The 20220-nt window shown below is 42.6% G+C and overlaps 1 protein-coding gene across 15 annotated transcripts in view, besides 2 other annotated features; it reads right to left on the bottom strand.

Annotated features, from left to right (window-relative positions):
* Positions 1-20220, bottom strand: part of ABCG2 (ATP binding cassette subfamily G member 2 (JR blood group)) — a 141363-nt gene that overhangs the window by 46554 nt on the left and 74589 nt on the right. For 11 of the 15 annotated variants that reach the window (NM_001257386.2, NM_001348985.1, XM_011532420.4 and 8 more), the window contains one exon: positions 2976-3197. The exons of 3 other annotated variants lie outside the window; for them this stretch is intronic. In NM_001257386.2, the coding sequence (NP_001244315.1) occupies positions 2976-3178 (203 nt within the window). In that variant the 5' untranslated portion in view covers positions 3179-3197. Of the gene's footprint in view, positions 1-2975; positions 3198-13374; positions 13569-20220 lie in introns of all 15 variants that reach the window. One more of the 15 variants, NM_001348988.1, reaches the window with a different exon arrangement.
* Positions 1084-1483: a transcriptional cis regulatory region, noted in NCBI's record as "silencer region targeted for CRISPR/Cas9 deletion". NCBI's record gives its function as "negatively regulates ABCG2 gene expression in K562 erythroleukemia and 293T embryonic kidney cells {active_cell/tissue: K562 | 293T}" and the evidence as "EXISTENCE:knockout evidence [ECO:0001091][PMID:32094911]".
* Positions 1177-1388: a silencer, noted in NCBI's record as "fragment chr4:89059146-89059357 (GRCh37/hg19 assembly coordinates)". NCBI's record gives its function as "represses an EF-1alpha promoter that drives an FKBP-Casp9 reporter gene in an ReSE screen, or a PGK promoter in conventional reporter assays, in K562 erythroleukemia cells {active_cell/tissue: K562}" and the evidence as "EXISTENCE:reporter gene assay evidence [ECO:0000049][PMID:32094911]".

Below are 20220 nucleotides of genomic sequence, written 5' to 3' on the forward strand. Positions count from 1 at the left end.
CCAGCCTGGCCAATATGATGAAACCCCGTCTTTACTAAGATACAAAAAATTAGCTGGGCATGGTGGTGGGCACCTGTAGTCCCAGCTAGGAGGCTGAGGCAGGAGAATCTCTTGAACCCAGGAGCCGGAAGTTGCAGTGAGCCAAGATCATGCCACTGCACTCCAGCCTGGGCAACAAGAGCAAACCTCCATCTCAATAAAATAAAATAAAATAAAATAAAATAAAATAAAATAAAATAAAATAAGAATGAGGAGATATATCCAAAGAATGAGAGACGGAGAGAGGGAAGAACCCACCTTGAAAGATCTCCCACCAAATCAGGAACAATAAGAGTATGAAGGTAAAACATAATAATGCGTTAATTGAATAAAATACAAATCCCTGACTCTATACTGGTGATAGATGAAGGTTTTTCCTTTTAGTAAAACAAACTAAGAGATAATGATAATAGAAAATCACTGTTTGGCGACTATGATAGTGGTGGCTGACTCAGGCAGGAGTCATCCAGTGGGGACTGAAGTTGGTGAAGTTTAATGTAGAATGGAGTTCTGGAATAATGTCAGTTTATCTCTCCTCATAACACTAATCAATTACCAAGGGGAAAGGGTGACATTATAGCCAAGTTTGGCAGACATCAACATGACCAAGTGATCAATTTTAACATCACCAGGGGTGGGATGAGATAAGAAAATACCACGTTGAATGAGACTGAAGAGACAGGATATGGTGGCAGTCAAATATGTGAGGGGCATGGTTGACCCAAGGCCCTGAGGACCTACCACGACCTTCATTACAAGGCTACATTTCCCCTTGGCTCCTCCTGGACAATGTCTGAGTGGTTATATAGGAGAGGGTCGTTTTTTCAAGAACACACACAAAGGAGTTAAGGAGAAGGAAGCACCATGTGGACAGCCTGCACTCACACGGTTCAGAAAAAACAGTAATGACCATGGGAACATGAAGAGACAAAGTGATGAGAACAAATGCAGTGAAATGTTGGCTGAGAACCTGAATGAAAAGGGTTATGTTCCTGAAACGTTTAAATTTAACATCAGGCCAGGTGCAGTGGCTCATGCTTATAACCCCAGTGCTTTGGGAGGCCAAGGTGGGAGGATCACTTAAGCCCAGGAGTTCAAGGCCAGCCTGGGCAACGTAGGAAGACCCCATCTCCACACACAGAAAATTTTTAATTAGCCAGGCATTGTGGCATCTAGCTACTCCAGAGGCTGAGGCGGGAGAATCACTTGAGCCCAGGAGTTGGAGCTTAGAGTGAGCTATGATTGCAGCACCACACTCCAGCTTAGGTGATGCAGCAGGACTCCATCTCTAAAAAATAAATAAATAAATTTGAAATCATTTCAAAGTAAGTTATTAATTAAAAATGTTCCAAGAGTATAATGAATTTCTCTTAAAATAACAGGACATCCACATATCTATGGGAATGAATTTTTTTTTCCATAAGATCTTCAGCGTTGGTGAGGGAAAGCTCAAATGCTGGGTATGGAGACAAACAAGCATAAGAGAAAGATTTGTCCTAAGTCAGAAGAATCACAACTTTTTAAATTCTCATGGTCAGACTGTTTTTATCTTCTTCCCCCTGCAGAGGAAATCAGGTTATAGTGACTTAGTTCTAGAAGTGAAATTACAAAATGTCCAGAGGAAAAACCAAAATCAAAATTCTCATCAGCTTTTTTGGAATGTAGATGACTATCTGAATGGTGATGCTGCTATCAAACACAAATCAAAAGTAAGATAAATGACAGCAGCCCTTCCTCTACCTCCAGAAACTGTATTTAGAGTTGGAGCCAGCAGATAGGAGAAAGACTGGAAATACTACAGCCAAAAAGGCCTTTCTCATGGATACTTAAACAGGAAATGCCAGCAGCAAAAACACCAACCCCTGATGACCTTTCCACTAAAATGTGAAAGAATTGCAAGATCTGACTGCATTTTTATGAGCCTAGTAAGGAACACAGTTCTATTCATGCAGTAAAGATGAACTCATCTATTGCTGAAATGCATGCCATTTGACCATAAAAAAAAATGCGTGGCCTGGCACAGTGGCTCACACCCCAGTGCTTTGGGAGGCTGAGGCGGGTGGATCATGAGGTCAGGAGTTCAAGACCAGCCTGGCCAACATGGTGAAACCCCATCTTGACTAAAAATACAAAAATTAGCCAGGCATGGTGGCACACACCTGTAATCCCAGCTACTCGGGAGGCTGAGGCAGGAGAATCACTTGAACCCGGGAGGTGGAGGTTGCAGTGAGCCGAGATTGTGCTGCTGCACTCCAGCCTGGGTGATAGAGCGAGACTCCCTCTCAAAAAAAAAAAAAAAAGTGTGAAGCCTTGAGCAGACGAGACTTCTAGTGCATCAAGTTACTCATCTACTAACTTTAAAAGATAAAATAAGCAAAATAAATGCACCCTCACAAAGTACGCTTTTTCTTTTTCTTTTAAGATAGGCTCTCACTTTGCCACCTATTTGTACAGTGGGACAATCATCGCCCACTGCAGACTTGATATCCCAGATTCAAGCCATACTCCTGCCTCAGCCTCCCAAGTAGCTGGGATCACAGGTACACACCACCACGCCCAGCTAATTTTTTGTATTTTCAGTAGAGACAGGGTTTCACTATGTCGGCCAGGATGTTCTCGATCTCTTGACTTCATGATCTGCCTGCCTCGGCCTCCCAAAGTGCTGGGATTACAGGCATGAGCCACCATATCCAGCCACATGTGGTGCATTTTTTAAAAAAGTCTGGCAGTTACTTTGAGAGTCAAACATATACCTAAAATGTGGCCCAGTTATTTCACTCCTAGTTTAGCTAAAACAAATGAAAGCATGTGTCTGTATATCTGTGCAAAGACTTGTACAAAAATGTTCATAGCCAGTTTCTTGGAAATAGCCAAAACCTGTGAGGTTCACTGTAGGTAAATTAAAAAGCTGTCTTTTTACAAGTTCATGTACATACTTGATATTCGATAATATTTCTTTCTCAACTGGTTTTCGACAAGGTAGAAAGCCACTCTTCAGTTTTACTCGATAGCAGATGTTATGAAAACTTAACACAGCTCCTTCAGTAAATGCCTTCAGGTCATTGGAAGCTGTCGCGGGGAAGCCATTGGTGTTTCCTTGTGACACTGGGATAAAAACTTCGACATTACTGGAAGACATCTGGAGAGTTTTTATCTTTCTGCAGACAGAAAAGCAATAGTAAGTTGATAGTCCAGATAAATGAGATTGCAAACACTAGGTGACAATACATTTAAAACAAGTCCATTTTTAAATGTGCGGCAATGAGCAGCTTCATTTCCAATGAATGGCCCATACCATTGTGATAAGAACATCCTAAAAACCTAAATGGGAAGACAGGCACAACTTGGAATGCATAAACTCCAATTAGATGTCAAATACATCCCTAATAAGTAAATGGGTCCTAATAAGTAAATAGGAAGAGTATGAAAATTACAAAAAACTGATAAAGCAGGAAAAGGATGGATGAGGGTTAGACTTGTCTGGCTTGAAAAGCATATTATGATATAAGTCAAGTGCAGGGACAGACTACATGCTCATCATCAGAATCTCTGTATTTTTTTTCAAGACCAGCCTGGCCAACATGGTGAAACCCTGTCTCTACTAATAATACAAAAGTTAGCCAGGTGTGGTGGCGTGTGCCTGTAATCCCAGCTACTTGGGAGGCTGAGGCAGGAGAATGGCTTGAACCAGGGAGGCAGAGGTTGCGGTGAGCAGAGATCGTGCCACTGTACTCCAGCCTGAGCGATAGAGCGAGACTCCATCTCAAAAACAAAGGGAAAAAAAAGAAACTCTATTTTTTTTAATTGCGGAGTTTATAGCATCATTATTATCAAAAGGGGCTTAGCCAAGCAGTCAGGAACAGGAGACATTTCTCTGAATTTATAGCTCCAGACTTTATGTCGGAAGTTGTTATGCACCTTCAATCAGCAAAGAAGGTAAACTCCAAAATTGTTTGCAATTACATAATAATTTCCTTAATTAATAAGTATATTTAAATTCTAGGGAGATTTAAAGTTAGGTACGAAAATCATTAAGTAAATCAAACCAAAAGTTGAGCAAAAATTTAAAACAAAAAAGAATATTAAATGTATCAATAAAATGTGAACTATTTCATTAAACAAATTACAAAAGGCCTCAAAAAAGATTTATTTGAGTAAGACCTTAAGATGAGCTTAACAACTTGTGAAACAGGTTTGAAATGTTAACTTCAATAAATGTAGTTTTAATTTTTAAAAGTCAAAGTAATCCATGACGAACTTTCTCTCTGCCTATGATTGAGTTGCTGTTCCCAAACAGTCCTCCTAAGCACAACGACAAAAGTAGACCAAAAAAAGTAAGAAGAAACTGTTGAAGAGTTCTGTCTGATAAAAGCAACCAAAGCGGCCAGGACATGAGGAACCAAAATCACGGAATGGCGGGACTGAAGCACTGAAACAAACTCTGCATTCCGCGTGCCCTTTCCTCTTAAGGTGGGTATTTGCACACAAAAATTGTACACACCTGGGGCACAGCTCAGACAAACCAAGCAGGAAGAAGCTGCTAGAAGAAATGAGTCGGCTTACTGAAGCCTCTACTATTTCTGAGCAGATATTTCAGCAGTCTGTCAGCACTAGGGAGACAAAATTTTGTTGGTGTTGAGTGCCTAACAGAGGAGGAGCCCTGGAAAGAGATCCCAAAAGCATTATGCTCTGGGAATGTGGACAAACCAAAAAACCAGTCTACTCAATCATGGCGATCTGCTCAGACTGCTAGAAGAAGGTTAAATCCACTCTCTATGAAGATATCATCCAAATTTTCAATAAAAAATTGCCAGGCATCAGGAATCTCTCTGAATCTGCTGTGATTCTGAAGGCTGCCTGATTCACGAATCATAAGTTTAAAAATAATGAAAAAAATTTTTAAAATTGCCAGGCATGCCAAAAAACAGAACCTGATGTTCCGGAAATGAGAAAATGGAAACAGACCCACAAGTAATCTAGACTGGAGTTAACAGACATTGACATTAAAACAAAAGATTGATGTGTTTAAGAAAATTAAAAGACAGACTCTCACCAAGGAACAAAGATCTACAAAAACAAACAAAAATTAAGAATTCAATCGATGAGTTTAACAGCAGCTTTCCTAGTTTAGACACAAATTAGGAAAGAGAATTTAGTGAACTGGAAGACTAGTACACAGAAAACATCCAGGATGAAAATTATGAATGATGAAAATTATTACCATGAAAGGGGGAAAAAATCTCCTAATTAAAAAGAATGAGAACTACATAAAAGAGCATAACAAACATATGGGATAAGATGAAAAAGGTCTGTCATACGCATAACAGGCAACCTGAGAGAGAAGGGAAAATGCAGCAAAATGGGTACTTAGACAGAATCAGTATTTGAAGAAATACTGGCCAGTATTTTCCAAAACTGACAAAGGTATCAAGCCACAGATTGAAGAAACTCTAGGAACACCAAAGAGGATGAATACAAAAAAAGACAAATCTAGGCATATCATAATAAAACTGCCAAAAACCAAAGTTATCTCCTAATAACTGTTTCTGTAATCCAGAAACATAATCATATTTACAAGTCTATTCATTTGGAGTCTGGAAAAGTAGAAACCATTTAAAGACTGACACCCAGCAAATTCAAGGTACATGGCTGGGTTTTAATCTGTGAACACAATGAATGGTAATAATTAGCCAAAATTCTGTTCTCTTGAAGCAGTGAAAGAGAAGGCACAAGTACAGTCAGCAGCCCTGTCCTTGAGTTCTGCATCTGAAGATTCAACCAGTCGCAAATCGAAAATATTAAAAAATAGGACAGGCGTGGTGGTTCACACCTGTAGTCCCAGCACTTTGGGAGGTCAAGGCAGGCAGATCACTTGAACGCAGGAATTCGAGGCCAGCCTGCACAACATGGTGAAACCCCATCTCTATCAAAAATACAAAAAAGTAGCCGAGTATGCTGGTGCACACCCATGGTTTCGGCTACTCGGGAGGCTGAGGCAGGAGGATCACTTGAGCCCAGGAGGCAGAGATTGCAGTGAGCCGAGATCATGCCACTGCACTCTAGCCTGGGTAACAGAGTAATACCCCATCTCAAAAAAATTAATATTTAAAAATAAATATAAATGGATGGCTGTGCCTGTACACAACATATACAGAATTTTTTCATCATTATTTCCTATACAATATAGTATCACAACTATTACCATAACATTTACATTGTATTAGGTATTACAAGTAATCTAGAGATGATTTAAAGTATATGGAACAATGCGTGTACATTATATGCAAATACTATGCCATGTTATATCAGGAACTTGAGCATATGTGGATTTGGGTGTCTGAGGGGAGTCTTGGAACCAATTCCCCAGGGATCTCTAGAGATAACTGTAATGTATGGACTTCACACCTTTACTTCAAAAAGGTTTTAAACCATCTCCCCATGTATTCAGAAACCAAAATACACCAATTCCAACACTAGCAATCACTTCTTCTACTGCCATCCCCATTTGATGTTCCTTCAGCCACTGAGGAAAAGACTTCTTAAGAGTATCAAATAACTTATTGCTTGAATTTAAATAGCTCACTGACTCAAGACGGAAATTTTAAAGACACTTTTGTGAGGTTTCCACAAATAAAAGGCAACAACTAGAGCTAAAGTACCCAAGAAAGAGTGATCACCCATGCCCATACAAGACAGAGGGTAACACTTATAAATACAATCACAATCTTAGAAGTGCCTGCAGAGAAAGAGTTTGCCTTTCCTGTGATAGGATTAAATGTGTAATTCACATTACTCAGGAGCTGTTTCATTCCTGGCTAGGATTCTAACAATCTTCCTCGGGAGATACAGGGCCTTAGTCATTCATGAGTCACAAACCAAGTGATTAGACAGGTATAACCAAGGCACACCATCAAGCTGAAGCACGTTACATCAAAAAGAAAGGAAAAAAAACAAACTTTAATTCTAACACCAATATGGAGCAATACACTTACTCTAAGAAAAAAAACATAGTAAGGATTAAATAAATAAAATATACCAACTCAGCACCAGACTCATCTCAAAGTGCCCGATCTCTAATGAATATAGTATTCTGGGTTTAGGGAACTCTCTAAAAGTAACAACTACCTTTAAGCAAACACCAGTCTTTCCCCATGGTCAGAAGCTTTCTGGACATGTGTGCTGATCTCATTGGATTAGCATCATCTTTTTATATCAAGGAAAATACCCATCACACAACGAGATGTCCCTACAACAAAAATCAACCTCCCACCTGTTGCCGTTTCCTTATTTGCAGATTACCTGCTAAGGCTAATCCATTTCTTTTTCTCTTTCTGTGTCCTAGACCCCCTGCAAAGCCTTAAGTGAAAGGAAGCCTTCAAATGGCTTTACACTTTACCTGATCCCAGCCGATTCATGTTATTTGGCCTGATTATGTATCTTAGCCAACTCAAAAAGCCCTTTCAAATAAGACAGAAGGGATTTGCATATGGAGATTCTTTCCCCAGCTCTGCTGCCTCTTTCGTGCTGGTCTACCTATGTCATTCATACCTCGCCTTTCTTGTTGCTTCCTAACTAGCAAGGCCACATTTTTACTTTTTTTTTTTTTTTTTTTTTTTGAGATGGAGTTTCACTCTTGTTGCCCAGGCTGGAGTGCAATGGCATGATCTAGGCTCACTGCAACCTCCGCCTCCCGGGTTCAAGTGATTCTCCTGCCTCAGTCTCCCTAGTAGCTGGGATTACAGGCCGATGCCACAACGCCCAACTAATTTTTGTATTTTTAGTAGAGACGAAGTTTCACCATGGTGGTCAAGGCTGGTTTCAAACTCCTGACCTCAGGTGATCCGCCCACGTCGGCCTCCAAAAGTGCTGGGATTATAGGTGTGAGCCACTGCGCCCAGCACATTTTTACTTTTTTGAGAAGTTTAACCATTTGTCTTCAATATATGCTGGTACTCTATTATAAAAATGATAATCTGCATTACAGATACCGTATTTCTCAATTTTTTTACTCTTTATCAAACTCTTAATTGTATAGAACACTCTTTACAATTGGAAAGCTCAAATTGCGCAACTCAAAACAACATTTTCATACAATGAAAACTGAGAAGAGGAAAAAAAAAAAAGTGCACAGGTAGAGCCTAAAGTCTTCAGCCTGCCACCTGCCCAGCTGGAACTACTGCATTTGTTGGTAGAAGCCAAGATAGCCTCAAGTTGAGAATTCCAGACTCTACTCTTCCTTTTTTTTTTCCTAGGATGACGCTAGTATATGGAGTTGCACTCTACCTCATAGCCATAGGGCATGCTGCATAAATTACATACCTCTTTAAAGTGTTTACTGAGGTTAATCTCAAAAGATAACAATCCTGAGCAATCAAATCACTGTCAGGCGATTGCTACAAACTTAGCAGTGGAAAGGAAAAGGAACACAAAATCTGAAGTTTAACTTACATAAATTGTCCCTTGTCTTTAAAAGGTATCATGGTATTTTATTGCCTTTAAAAGGTTGATCCATGGGCTTTCATGTTATATCCGATTTGACAGATTTGTCCTGAGAGGTCCAGTGTTGATTATATTCAGGCCCAAAGCCTGCTTGTATGGTGGTTTCAGAGTTAAACTGGCTAGGTGCTCTAGGACCCCACATCATGGCAGCACAGTGATCTGGAGAACGCGGCCTAATTCCCGACAGACAGGAAGAGACCCCATCACCAAAGGGCTGTATGGTCAGTGAGAAGCCACTGAGGCCTTTTAATCAGGAAAGGCTCACAACCCTAATGATGTTTATAAAGGAACACTCTGGGCCAGGCCAGGTGCGGTGGCTCTTGCCTGTAATCTCAGCACTTTGGAAGGCTGAGGTGAGCAGATTACTTGAGGTCAGGAGTTCAAGACCACCCTGGCCAACATGGTGAAACCCCGTCTCTACTAAAAATACAAAAATTAGCCGGGCGTGGTGGTGTGCATTTTTGATCCCAGCTACTCGGGACGGCAGGAGAATCGCTTGAATTCAGAAGGCAGAGATTGCAGTGTGCTAAGATTGTGCTGCTGCACTCCAGCTTGGGCAACAGAGCAAGACCCTGTCTCAATAAATAAATAAAGGAACACTCTGCTGTGTGGAGAACAACAGGAGGAGGGAGAGGCAAGTGTGGAAGCAAGGACTAGCGGGGAGGTAACTGCAAAAATCCAGGGGAGCCATGCTTGGATAACAGAGGCAATGACAGTGGGGACATCAAAGGTTAAGGCTTTGAGAGGGATGAACTTTTGTTAAATCAGAACCAACCAAGACTCATGGATGACAAACCTGCCCACCCTCCTTGGGTCTTCAGTTTGCAACAACGTATCGCTGTTAGGTTTTCTTAAATGTTACTTTAGAGAAGAAAAAATCCTTTTCCATCTCCCCTGTGGGTTCCCTAGCTGGGTTCCTAGAAATTAAACTGGCAATAGACAGGTTAATATGACCAAAAAAAAAAAGTTTCCTTACATAAGTAAGGTGGGAGTTTCATAAACAAATCAGAGTCTAGGACAAATCCATATGACTGAGGCTTTTTTTTTTCTTTTTTCAAGACAGAGTCTCACTCTGTTGCCGAGGACGTAGTGCAGTGGTGTGGATCTTGGCTCACTGCAAGCTCTGCCTCCCAGGTTCAAGCAATTCTCCTGCATCAGCCTCCCAAGTAGCTGGGACTACAGGCGCCCACCACCACACTTGGCGATTTTTGTATTTTTAGTAGAGATGGGGTTTCACCATGTTGGCCAGGCTGGTCTTGAACTCCCAACCTCAGGTGATCCACCTGCCTCAGCCTCCCAAAGTGCTGGGATTACAGGCATGAGTCACCGTGCTTGGCTAAAACCTGTTAATTTTTATAGCAAATTTAGCCAGGCGTGGTGGTCCACACCTGTGATCCCACCTACTGGGGAGGCTGAGGTGGGAGGATCCCTTGAGGGTCCATGAGACGGAGGCTGCAGTGAATCGTGATTGTGCCACTGGAATCCAGCCTAAGCAACAGCGTAACCCTGTCAAAAAGAAAGAAAAGCAAAGAAAAAGGAGAAAGAAGGAAGGAAGGAAGGAAGGAAGGAAGAAGGAAGGAAGGGAGGGAGGAAGGGAGGGAGGGAGGGAACAGGAGAAAGAAAGGAAGGAAAAAGAAAGAAAGAAGAAAGAGAAAGAAAAGGAAAGAAAGAAAGAAAGAAAGAAAGAAAGAAAAGAAAGGTAAAGGAAAGGAAAGGAAAAGAAAAGAAAAGAAAAAAGAAGAGAGAAAAGGAAGGAAAGAAAGTAAAAAAGAAAACTAAAAGAATCCATTGAACTCTTCCAGGCACCCTCACAGGCTTCCCTATGAAAGTCCCAAAGAGCCTGGCACTATTGTGCCTGAAATTCCAGCTGTGAGGCTGAGGCAGGAGGATCTCTTGAGCACAGGAGATCAGCTTGGGCAACATGACAAGACCCTGTCTCAAAAAAACGTACCTAAACTCTCTAGCAATATATACCAGTATTTAGATAACAGCTTTAACAATTCAGCATTAAAACGTTCTGCAAGCTTGGGTCACAGAGCATGAACTTTCTTCTTCTTCATGCTCTTTGCCCTTGTGTCTATCCTACACTAAGTACACAGAAAAATGATATTTATGAAAGTATTTCCTTTAGAATTCCTTGCAAATCTGCAATTTCTAAAAGTCATATTTGGATTTGAAAACTGAATTTCTCTACAGAGGCTGGCTATCATAAAAGCAGGGAACTATTTTTGTTTCCTGCAGAGTTCTTCAGACTCTGTTCTCAATTATTCCTATTAAGTGAAAGATTAAATCAATGTGTCACACTCTGTTGCAAGGTAGCTTAATAAAGATGTTAGCACTAGCAAGATAAAGTCACTAACCATGTTAAGGAGTAGATTTTGACAACTCTTCTACAGAATTTAGATTCTGGTAAGATTACTGAACTGCCTATAAAATTTAGAGAGCAAAAACACACATACAGAATAGACTGAGCATGAAATTTGTGAAAGGTAAGCACAAATCCGAAGCAAACCTATCTAAGAACGCAGTATGATTAACACAGCTGTAGTTCACAAAAACTACAATTATCCTGTTTCAATGCAGGACATACTTCCAGCCAGGAATGTCCTTCCCCACCTGAATTTCTACAACCTCACATTCCTTTGATAACTGAGAGATTAAGACAGTTCCATCCCTGAGGGAGCACAAGACCTGCGAGGTGGGAGGGTTTAGAAGCAAGTTCCTAGAGAAGACAGACCAAGTACAGCTGAATCTTGAACAGCACAGGTTTGAAGTACATGGTCCACTTATACGCAGATGGAAGAATGCCAAACCCATGTATACAGAGGGCTGACTCTGCCTATACACTGGTTCCACAGGGCTGCTTGTGGGACTTGAGTATGCAGGGATTTGGGTATATGCACCCAAAGGGACCACTGTACCCCAAGGGACCCCTGTAGATGGAAAAGAAGAAAGGAGAAGAGAAAAAGCTGTTCTAGTAAAGGAATGCAAAATCCTTAATCGAAAGAGATATGTTGGGTCATGTATACCATTCATGAGGCTGGAGTTTAGTTTTCAGAGGGGGGCAGTAACAAAATGAGGCTAAAAAGGTAAGCAAAGACCATCAAAAGGGTGCAGCGTGCCTGATCAGGAGCTAAGACTTGACCCTGGAATTCTGGAGGGTCCCTGACTGCAAGGTCCCAGCTCTACCCTCTCCTCACTCCTATATATCCTGATCCTACAAGATTTTCAGTAAAGCCAGCAAGGTATCTATAGGAAATTAATAACTTACAGAAATTAATACTTATTACTAAGGAAAAACTGTTTTGGAAGGGATCCTATGCCAACTGTACACACGGTTCTGCCTAATCTTTGGTTTTTTTAATCATGTTTATTGGAAACCCGTCAACAGGAAACAGTATTGTAAACAGTAAAATTCATCCTTTTTAAGAGCACAGTTTTCTGACATTGTAAAGTGTACACAGTCCTGTAACCACTACAATCAAGACAGATCATTCATGTTAACCCAAAGAAATCCCCTCTCCTTACCAGAGCCCCTGACAACCACTAATCAGTTTTCTGTCCCCTTAATTTTTCAGCTTAATCTAAATCCTCTCTTTGAATAGAAACAAATGAACATAAGACCCTACAAGGCTACTGTTTTTTCATTTACATTCCCACAAAAATCTGCAGGAATTCTGCTCGTCTGTACAAAAAATAAAATTGAAAAATTAGCCGGGTGTGGTGGCACATGCCTGTAGACCTAGCTACTTGTGAGGCTGAGGAAGGGGGATCCCTTGAGCCCAGGGAGTTCCAGGCTGCAGTGAGTCAAGATCACGCCACTATACTCCCGTCTGGGTGAGAGCAAGATCCTTTCTCTAAAATATAAAAATAAATAAATAAATAAAAGAATTCTGTCCAAATTGGTTTTAATCTGTGATTAGAAAGCCAAAACTTCAGTCTAGAAAATCGTCAAATCATAAATGAAATTAGACCAAGTGCAATTTACATGCGTGTTACATCCCAAATTTTCTTAATCTAATCTGCAATTTGGCCAGCAGTTTCCCAGAGGGAACGGAGATGTTCAAATCCTAAGGCTGCCCATAAAATGCTATCCAATCCATCACAGAATGTGTGGGGTTTCAGCTCCTTCTCCCCTTAAACTTCCTAGCCACAGAACCCTGGAGAAACTGCTTAGCCTCTCCAAGCCTGTTTCTCACCTATAAAATTAATTCGGCCGGGCATGGTGGTTCATGCCTGTAATGCCAGCACTTTGGGAGGCCGAGGCAGGCGGATCACATGAGGTCGGGAGTTCGAGACCAGCCTGACCAACATGGAGAAACCCTGTCTCTACTAAAAATACAAAATTAGTTGGGCATGGTAGCGCATGCCTGTAACCCCAGCCACTCGGGAGGCTGAGGCAGGAGAACTGCTTGAACCTGGGAGGCAGAGGTTGCGGTGAGCTGAGCTCGCACCATTGCACTCCATTCTGGGCAACAAGAGCGAAACTCTGTCTCAAAAAATAATAATAATAATTCGATATTTACTAGACTTCTATTATCTGGCAGGCACTGGACTTACAGGAGTGAACAAAACAAAACAACAGATAAACATCCCGGCCCTCAGTGAGGTTACATATGAAAAATATCAGTCAACAGTGCTACGGAGAAAAAAAATTAAAGCAAAAGAGGAAGGGTGGGCCAGAAATGGTGGCTCACGCCTGTAATCCCAGCACTTTGGGAGGCCGAGGTGGGTGGATTGCTTGAGGCCCGGAATTTGGAGACCAGCCTGGACAATATGGTGAAATCCTTATCTCTATTAAACATACAAAAATTATCCGGGTGTGGTGGCGCATACCTGTAATTCCTGCTACTTGGGAGACTGAGGCACAAGAATTGCTTGAACCCGGGAGGCAGAGATTGCAGTGAGCCAAGGTCACACCAATGCACTCCAACCTGGGCAACAGAGGTGGTCACGGAAGGCCTTTCCAGTGAGGCCCTCAAGCAGAGCTCTGAGGGTGGCCTTCTGGAGGAGCAGTATATGTCCAAGTGCTGGTCGAAGGAACAGCAAAGAGGCCAGTGAGGCTGAAGCAGAGTGAGGGAGGATAAGAGAGCAGGAACTCGGGTTGTATCTACCACTGACCACAGGAAGGACTTTGGCTTTGATCTGAATGGCACTGGAAGGCACAGGAAAGTTCTGAGTGAAGAAATGATATCTATATTTAAAGCAGGAGTGTCCAATCTTTTGGCTTCCCTGGGCCACACTGGAAGAAGAATTGTCTTGGGCCACATATAAAACACACTAACATTAACAACAGCTGATGAGCTAAATTAAAAACAAAAATCACATAATGTTTTAAGAAAGTTTACTAATTTGTGTTGGGCTTCATTCAAAGCCATCTTGGGCCACATGCACGTTGGACAAGCTTGGTTTAAAGGATCACTCTGACTTTGGTCATGGGTAGGGACAATGCAGGGAGACCACATAAGAGTCCACCATAATAATATCAAGAGCCAAGATGAGGACACTGTCCTGCACCCCTCCCTCCATAGCCTATGAGAGCTCCCTGAAACCTATTATCTGTGCATGTTCTGCAAAATCGCCTGCCCCAAACAATTCCATTTCCTGACCTCCTCTTACACTGCCCAAACTGGGAAAACAAGGTCAAAAATAAATGACAGTGGTTCAGCTTCAGGCCCACAGGAAGTGAATAACTCATTTACATTTAAGAGGGGACTGACTGAGAAGCCCCTATGAATTTAAATAAAAGGAGTAGTGACTGGGGCTAGAAGACATAGGGAGGACAGCGGCAGAAGCTCTGGGAAAGTCATCACCCTTTCTCTTCTCCCTTTGCAAGGTTGACTCCACCAAATTGGCACTGTGGGAAGATTAGCAGCAGTGAGGTGGGTCATTAGAACATTTTGGGATCCTAAGTCCCCAGGGGGAAACAAAATCAAGTTGAGTGTGAGTTAGATTTACCCAAAACCACACAGCATTGTGCCTACAACCCAGTCCTTGTTCTCCGTGAGTCTAGTACATGTCAACTACATGAAGATCAATATCCCTGCTCCCTTCCAGTTTATAATTCAATCATCGGAATTGCAGTAAAAATTATGAACAGAGGCTGGGTGCAGTGGCTCATGCCTGTAATCCCAGCACTTTGGGAGGCCGAGGCAGGTGGATCACGAGGTCAGGAGATCAAGACCATCCTGGCTAACACGGTGAAACCCCATCTCTACTAAAAATACAAAAAAGTAGCTGGGCGTGGTGGAGGGGCGCCGGTAGTCCCAGCTGCTGGGGAGGCTGAGGCAGGAGAATGGCGTGAACCCGGGAGGTGGAGCTTGCAGTGAGCCGAGATGGCGCCACTGCACTCCAGCCTGGGCGACAGAGTGAGACTCCATCTCAAAAAAAAAAAAAAAGAATTATTAACAGAAAATTAAATGTGAGCAGCGGCATTACTTCTCAAAATTCTGAGACCTACAATAAAAAACATCATGATCCAGTATACAAAGATATAAAAGAAGGAGCATGTAATGTGTGTGTACTCCAAAATCATAGAAGGGCTCATTAATTATTGCAAGGGATCCTCTCTCTAATCCACGGGTACAGTTACCATCTCAGACCAAATAATGTCTCATCATAAACACAGTACTTCTTCATTGCTAGTATGACTAACATAAATATGGGTCTCAAATCCTTTTCTCACTGTGAATTCAATCAACAGATACCAAAATTATAATATTAGGATGTAGTTTAAGCTACTCAGCTAATAAAATGATCCTGGTTTCTTACCAGAGCCTAATAGATAGAAGCTCACATATGCATTATTTGTTTTGGAAGCACTGGCAGGGTTTCATTTGAGAAAAAAATGGGAGCTTTAAAAAATTACTAAATACTACCAATTTTACTTCTTTCCCATAAGAGACTGAATCCAAGTTGGCAAATACAGTCAGGTCCTCTATAATGTTTAAACTTTAAGGCAATATGAATTTTCACTCGCGTCCGTGTGAAGAGACCACCAAACAGGCTTCGTGTGAGCAATAAAGCTTTTTAATCACCTGGATGCAGGCGGGCTGAGTCCGAAAAGAAAGTCAGCAAAGGGAGATAGGGATGGGGCCATTTCATAAGATTTGGGTAGGTAAAGGGTAAAGGGGGTTTGTTCTCTGGTGGGCAGGGGTGGGGCGTCACAGGGTGCTCAGCGGGGGAGCTTTTGAGCCAGAATGAGCCAGGAGAAGGAATTTCACAAGGTAATGTCATCAGTTAAGGCAGGAACAGGCCATTTTCAGTTCTTTTGTGGTGGAATGTCATCAGTTAAGGCAGGAACCAACCATCTGGATGTATATGTGCAGGTCACAGGGGATATGATGGCTTAGCTTGGGCTCAGAGGCCTGACATTCCTGTCTTCTTATATTAATAAGAAAAATAAAACAAAATAGTGGTAAAGTGTTGGGGTGGTGAAAATTTTTGGGGGGTGGTATGGAGAGAGAATGGGTGATGTTTCTCAGGGCTGCTTCAAGTGGGATTAGGGGCGGCGTGGGAACCTAAAGTGGGAGAGATTAAGCTGAAGGAAGATTTTGTGGTAAGGGGTGATATTGTGGGGTTGTTAGAAGAAACAATTGTCCTATATAAGTATTGGTGATGGCCTGGATACAATTTTGTATGAATTGAAAAAAGAACGGAATAAGACAAGGAGAAAAACAGGTATTAAAGGACTAAGAATTGGGAGGACCCAGGACATCCAATTAGAGAGTGCCTAAGGAGGTTCAGCATAGCCCTGCCAGCAAAGATGATTTATTTACTTTAAGAGTTGAGAGTGGCGGTTTGGGGATAGCACCAGGAGATATCAGCTGTGGTGGCTTGGAGAAACAGTGTAAACCGGCAGTGTAAACAAGAGCGGGCATGTATGAGTAGTTGAGAATGGTGAATAGGAGTATGACTAGACAGAAGATAGTAGGGATGACAAGTTTTTGGGGGCGCAGTCCAAGTTGGTCTGGTGTCTGGAATGAGACTGGGGCCTAATAAAAAGGAGCATCTATACAGGAGCTCAAATGGGCTGTATTTTGTCGCATTCCGAAGACAGGCCCGAATTCTGAGAAGGGCAAGTGGTAAAAGTATTATCCAGTCCTTTTTAAGTTGGTGGCTGAGCTTGGTGAGGTGTGTTTTTAAAAGACCAGTAGTCCGTTCTACCTTTCCTGAAGATTGAGGATGGTAAGGGATATAAATGTTTCACTGAATACCAAGAGCCCGAAAAACTGCTTGGCTGATTTGACTAATAAAGGCCGGTCCTCTATTGAACCGTATAGAGGTGGGAAGGCCAAACCAAGGAATTATGTCTGACAGAAGGGAAGATATGACCGTCGTGGCCTTCTCAGACCCTGTGGGAAAGGCCTCTACCTATCCAGTGAAAGTGTCTACCCAGACCAAGAAGTATTTTAGTTTCCTGACTCGGGGCATGTGAGTAAAGCTAATTTGCCAGTCCTGGGCAGGAGCAAAACCCCGAGCTTGATGTGTAGGGAAGGGAGGGGGCATGAGAAATTCCTGAGGAGTAGTAGAATAGCAGATGGAACACTGAGAAGTGATTTCCTTGAGGACAGATTTCCACGATGGAAAGGAAATGTTCTAAGAGGCAGGCTAGCGGCTTGTAACCTACATGGAAGAGGTTATGAAATGATGACAGAATAGAATGGGCCTGTGAGGCTGGAAGGAGATATTTTCCTTGGTCTAAGAACCATTTGCTTTGTGTGGGAAGAGATTGATAGGTGGAAGTTTCAGTGGGGGAGTAGGTGGGAGTGACCAATGCGAAGAAGAAAAACTGACCCTGAGGGACAGAAGTTGGAACACTAGTTGCTTTTTTAGCTAACTTATCAGCATAAGCATTGTCCTGAGCGATGGGATATGATACCTTTTTGATGGCCCTTGCAGTGAATGACTCCAGCTTCCTTTGGAAGTAAAGCGGCTTTGAGAAGCGTTTTTATTAAAGAAGCATTAATGATAGAGGACCCTTGTGTAGTGAGGAAACCTCTTGCATAGTGGTGCAGGATATGGAAGGCATATTTAGAGTCAGTATAAATATTGATGTGTAGTCCCTTTGCAAGAGCAAGGGCTTGACTTCAGGCAATGAGTTCGGCTTGCTGAGCGGTAGTGGAGGGGGGCAGAGTGGTAGCCTCAATGATAGATGTGGAAGATACTATAGCATAGCCTGCCTTTGCTGGTGAGTGGCAATTAGGACTGGTGGAACTGCCATCAGTAAACCAAGTGTTCAGGGTGAGGAACAGGAAAGAAGGAAATATGCGGAAATGGGGTGAATGCCCGGTGGATCAGAGAGATAGTCATGGGGGTCAGGTGTGGTATCAGGAATAATGTGGGAGGCCGGATTGAAGTCTGGGCCAGGAACAATGGTAATTGTGGGAGACGCAACAAAGAGTGAGTATAGCTGGAGGAGCCGGGGAGCAGAAAGTATATGTGTCAGGTGTGAGGAAGAAAATAGATTTTGGAAGTTATGAGAGCTGTAGAGAGTGAGTTGAGCATAGTTTGTGATTTTGAGGGCCTCTAAAAGTATTAGGGCGGCGGCAGCCACTGCACGGAGACATGATGGCTAGGCTAAAACAGTAAGGTCAAGTTGTTTGGACAAAAAGGCTACAGGACGCGATCCTGGTCCTTGTGTAAGAATTCTGACTGCACAGCCCTGCACTTCGGCTGTGTGTAATGAAAAGGGTTGGGATGAGTCAGGGAGAGCTAGGGTGGGGGGCAGTCTCTAAAGCTGTCTTGAAGGAATGGAAAGAGGAGTGGGGAAAGGATTTAGGATCTATGGGGTCAGCTAGGTTTCCTTTTGTGAGTTTATATAATGGCTTTGTTAGGATGGCGAAACCAGGTATCCAAAGTCGAAAGTATCCAACCATGCCTAGGAAGGAAAGGAGTTGTTTTGTAGAAGGTGTTGGGGTTTGAGAGATCAGTCAGACACGATTGGCAGGGAGAGCACGTGTGTTTTTATGAAGAATTATGACAAGATAGGTAACAGATGAGGAAGAAATTTGGGTTTGACTGAAGTAATGGGGGCTGTCTGTGAAGCCTTGAGGCAGTACAGAGCCAGGATGAGCCAGAAGGAGGAATTTCACAAGGTAATGTCATCAGTTAAGGCAGGAACCAGCCATCTGGATGTGTAAGTGTAGGTCACAGAGGATATGATGGCTTAGCTTGGGCTCAGAGGCCTGACACCAATCTTTTCAGACTTAGCATTTGCTAAGTCACAAACTTTTTATTATACATAAAAAGTTCAAAAGTAACTCTAGGCCGGGCACGGTGGCTCATGCCTGTATTCCCAGCACTTGGGGAGGCCGAGGCGGGTGGATCACCCAAAGTCAGGAGTTCGAGACCAGCCTGGCCAACATGGCAAAACCTCGTCTTTACTAAAAACATTAAAAATTAGCTGGGCGTGGTGGCACATGCCTGTAATCCCTGCTACTCAGGAGGCTGAGGCAGGAGAATTGCTTGAACCCAGGAAGCGGAGGAGGTTGCAGTCAGCTGAGATCCCACCATTGCACTCTGGCCTGGAGCAAGACTCCATCTCAAAAAAAAAAAGAAGTAACTCTAATAGAACATCCAGTGTCCAGATATTAGCTTCTAATACCATTCTAAAGCAAAATAATCACAGTGCCTTGGAGAAATGGATCATTCCAAGGTTGGGACATGGAAAATACAAAATAAGCCTGAGCATTCTCTGATGCCAGAAATCAAGAAATGCATTAAAAAAGAAAAAGAGTCCGGGCATGATAGCTCACACCTGTAATCCCAGCACTTTGGGAGGCCGAGGCGGGCAGATCACTTGAGGCCAGGAGTTTGAGACCAGCCTGGCCAACATGGAAAACCCCGTCTCTACTAAAAAATACAAAAAGTAGCCAAGTGTGGTGCTACGTACCTGTAATCCCAGCTACTTGGTAGGCTGAGGCACAAGAATCGCTTGAGCCTGGGAGGCGGAGGGTGCAGTGAGCCGAGATCGTGCCACTGCACTCCAGCCTGGGCGACAAAGACTCCGTCTCAAAAAAAAAAAAAAAAAAAAAAGAAGGAAAAAGAAAAAGCAAGTGTATGTCAAAGTGGCACAGGCGCCAACCTGAAAAAGGTCCCAGTGGTGAAAGCCAGAACAATTTGAGCAGCAAATTAAATACTGATAATATTGGATTATAACCCATATAACAAAACAAATATCCATGAGCCCATACTGATACAAATAACTGAATCAATGAACAGGAGAGAAGGGTCAACTCTTCCCTACAGAAGGGAATTTTAATTAAAAAATGTAGAAGGAAGAAAATAGGGGTTTTGTTTAACCATTAGGAAAAAAAACCCGCTAAACAACATGTTCCACAAATGGATGCTTAAATTAATGAATAAAAGTTTAAGGAAAAATGGCAGTGCAGGTTTCTCTCCCAAGATCTCAAATACAAAGGGAATCTGGCAAACAGATTAACATCATAGGTAATAAGAAGTATCGGCTAGGGCACAGTGGCTCACGCCTGTAATCCCAGCACTTTGGGAGGCCAAGGCAGGAGGATCACTAGAGGTCAGGAGTTCGAGACCAGCCTGGCCAACATGAAACCTGTCTCTACTAAAAATACAAAAAATTATCTGGGCATGGTGGCAGGCGCCTATAATCCCAGCTACTCAGGAGGCTGAGGCAGGAGAATCGCTAGAACCTGGGAGGCAAAG

This window comes from Homo sapiens, chromosome 4 (genome assembly GCF_000001405.40).
Source record: "Homo sapiens chromosome 4, GRCh38.p14 Primary Assembly".
Classification (NCBI taxonomy): domain Eukaryota; kingdom Metazoa; phylum Chordata; class Mammalia; order Primates; family Hominidae; genus Homo; species Homo sapiens.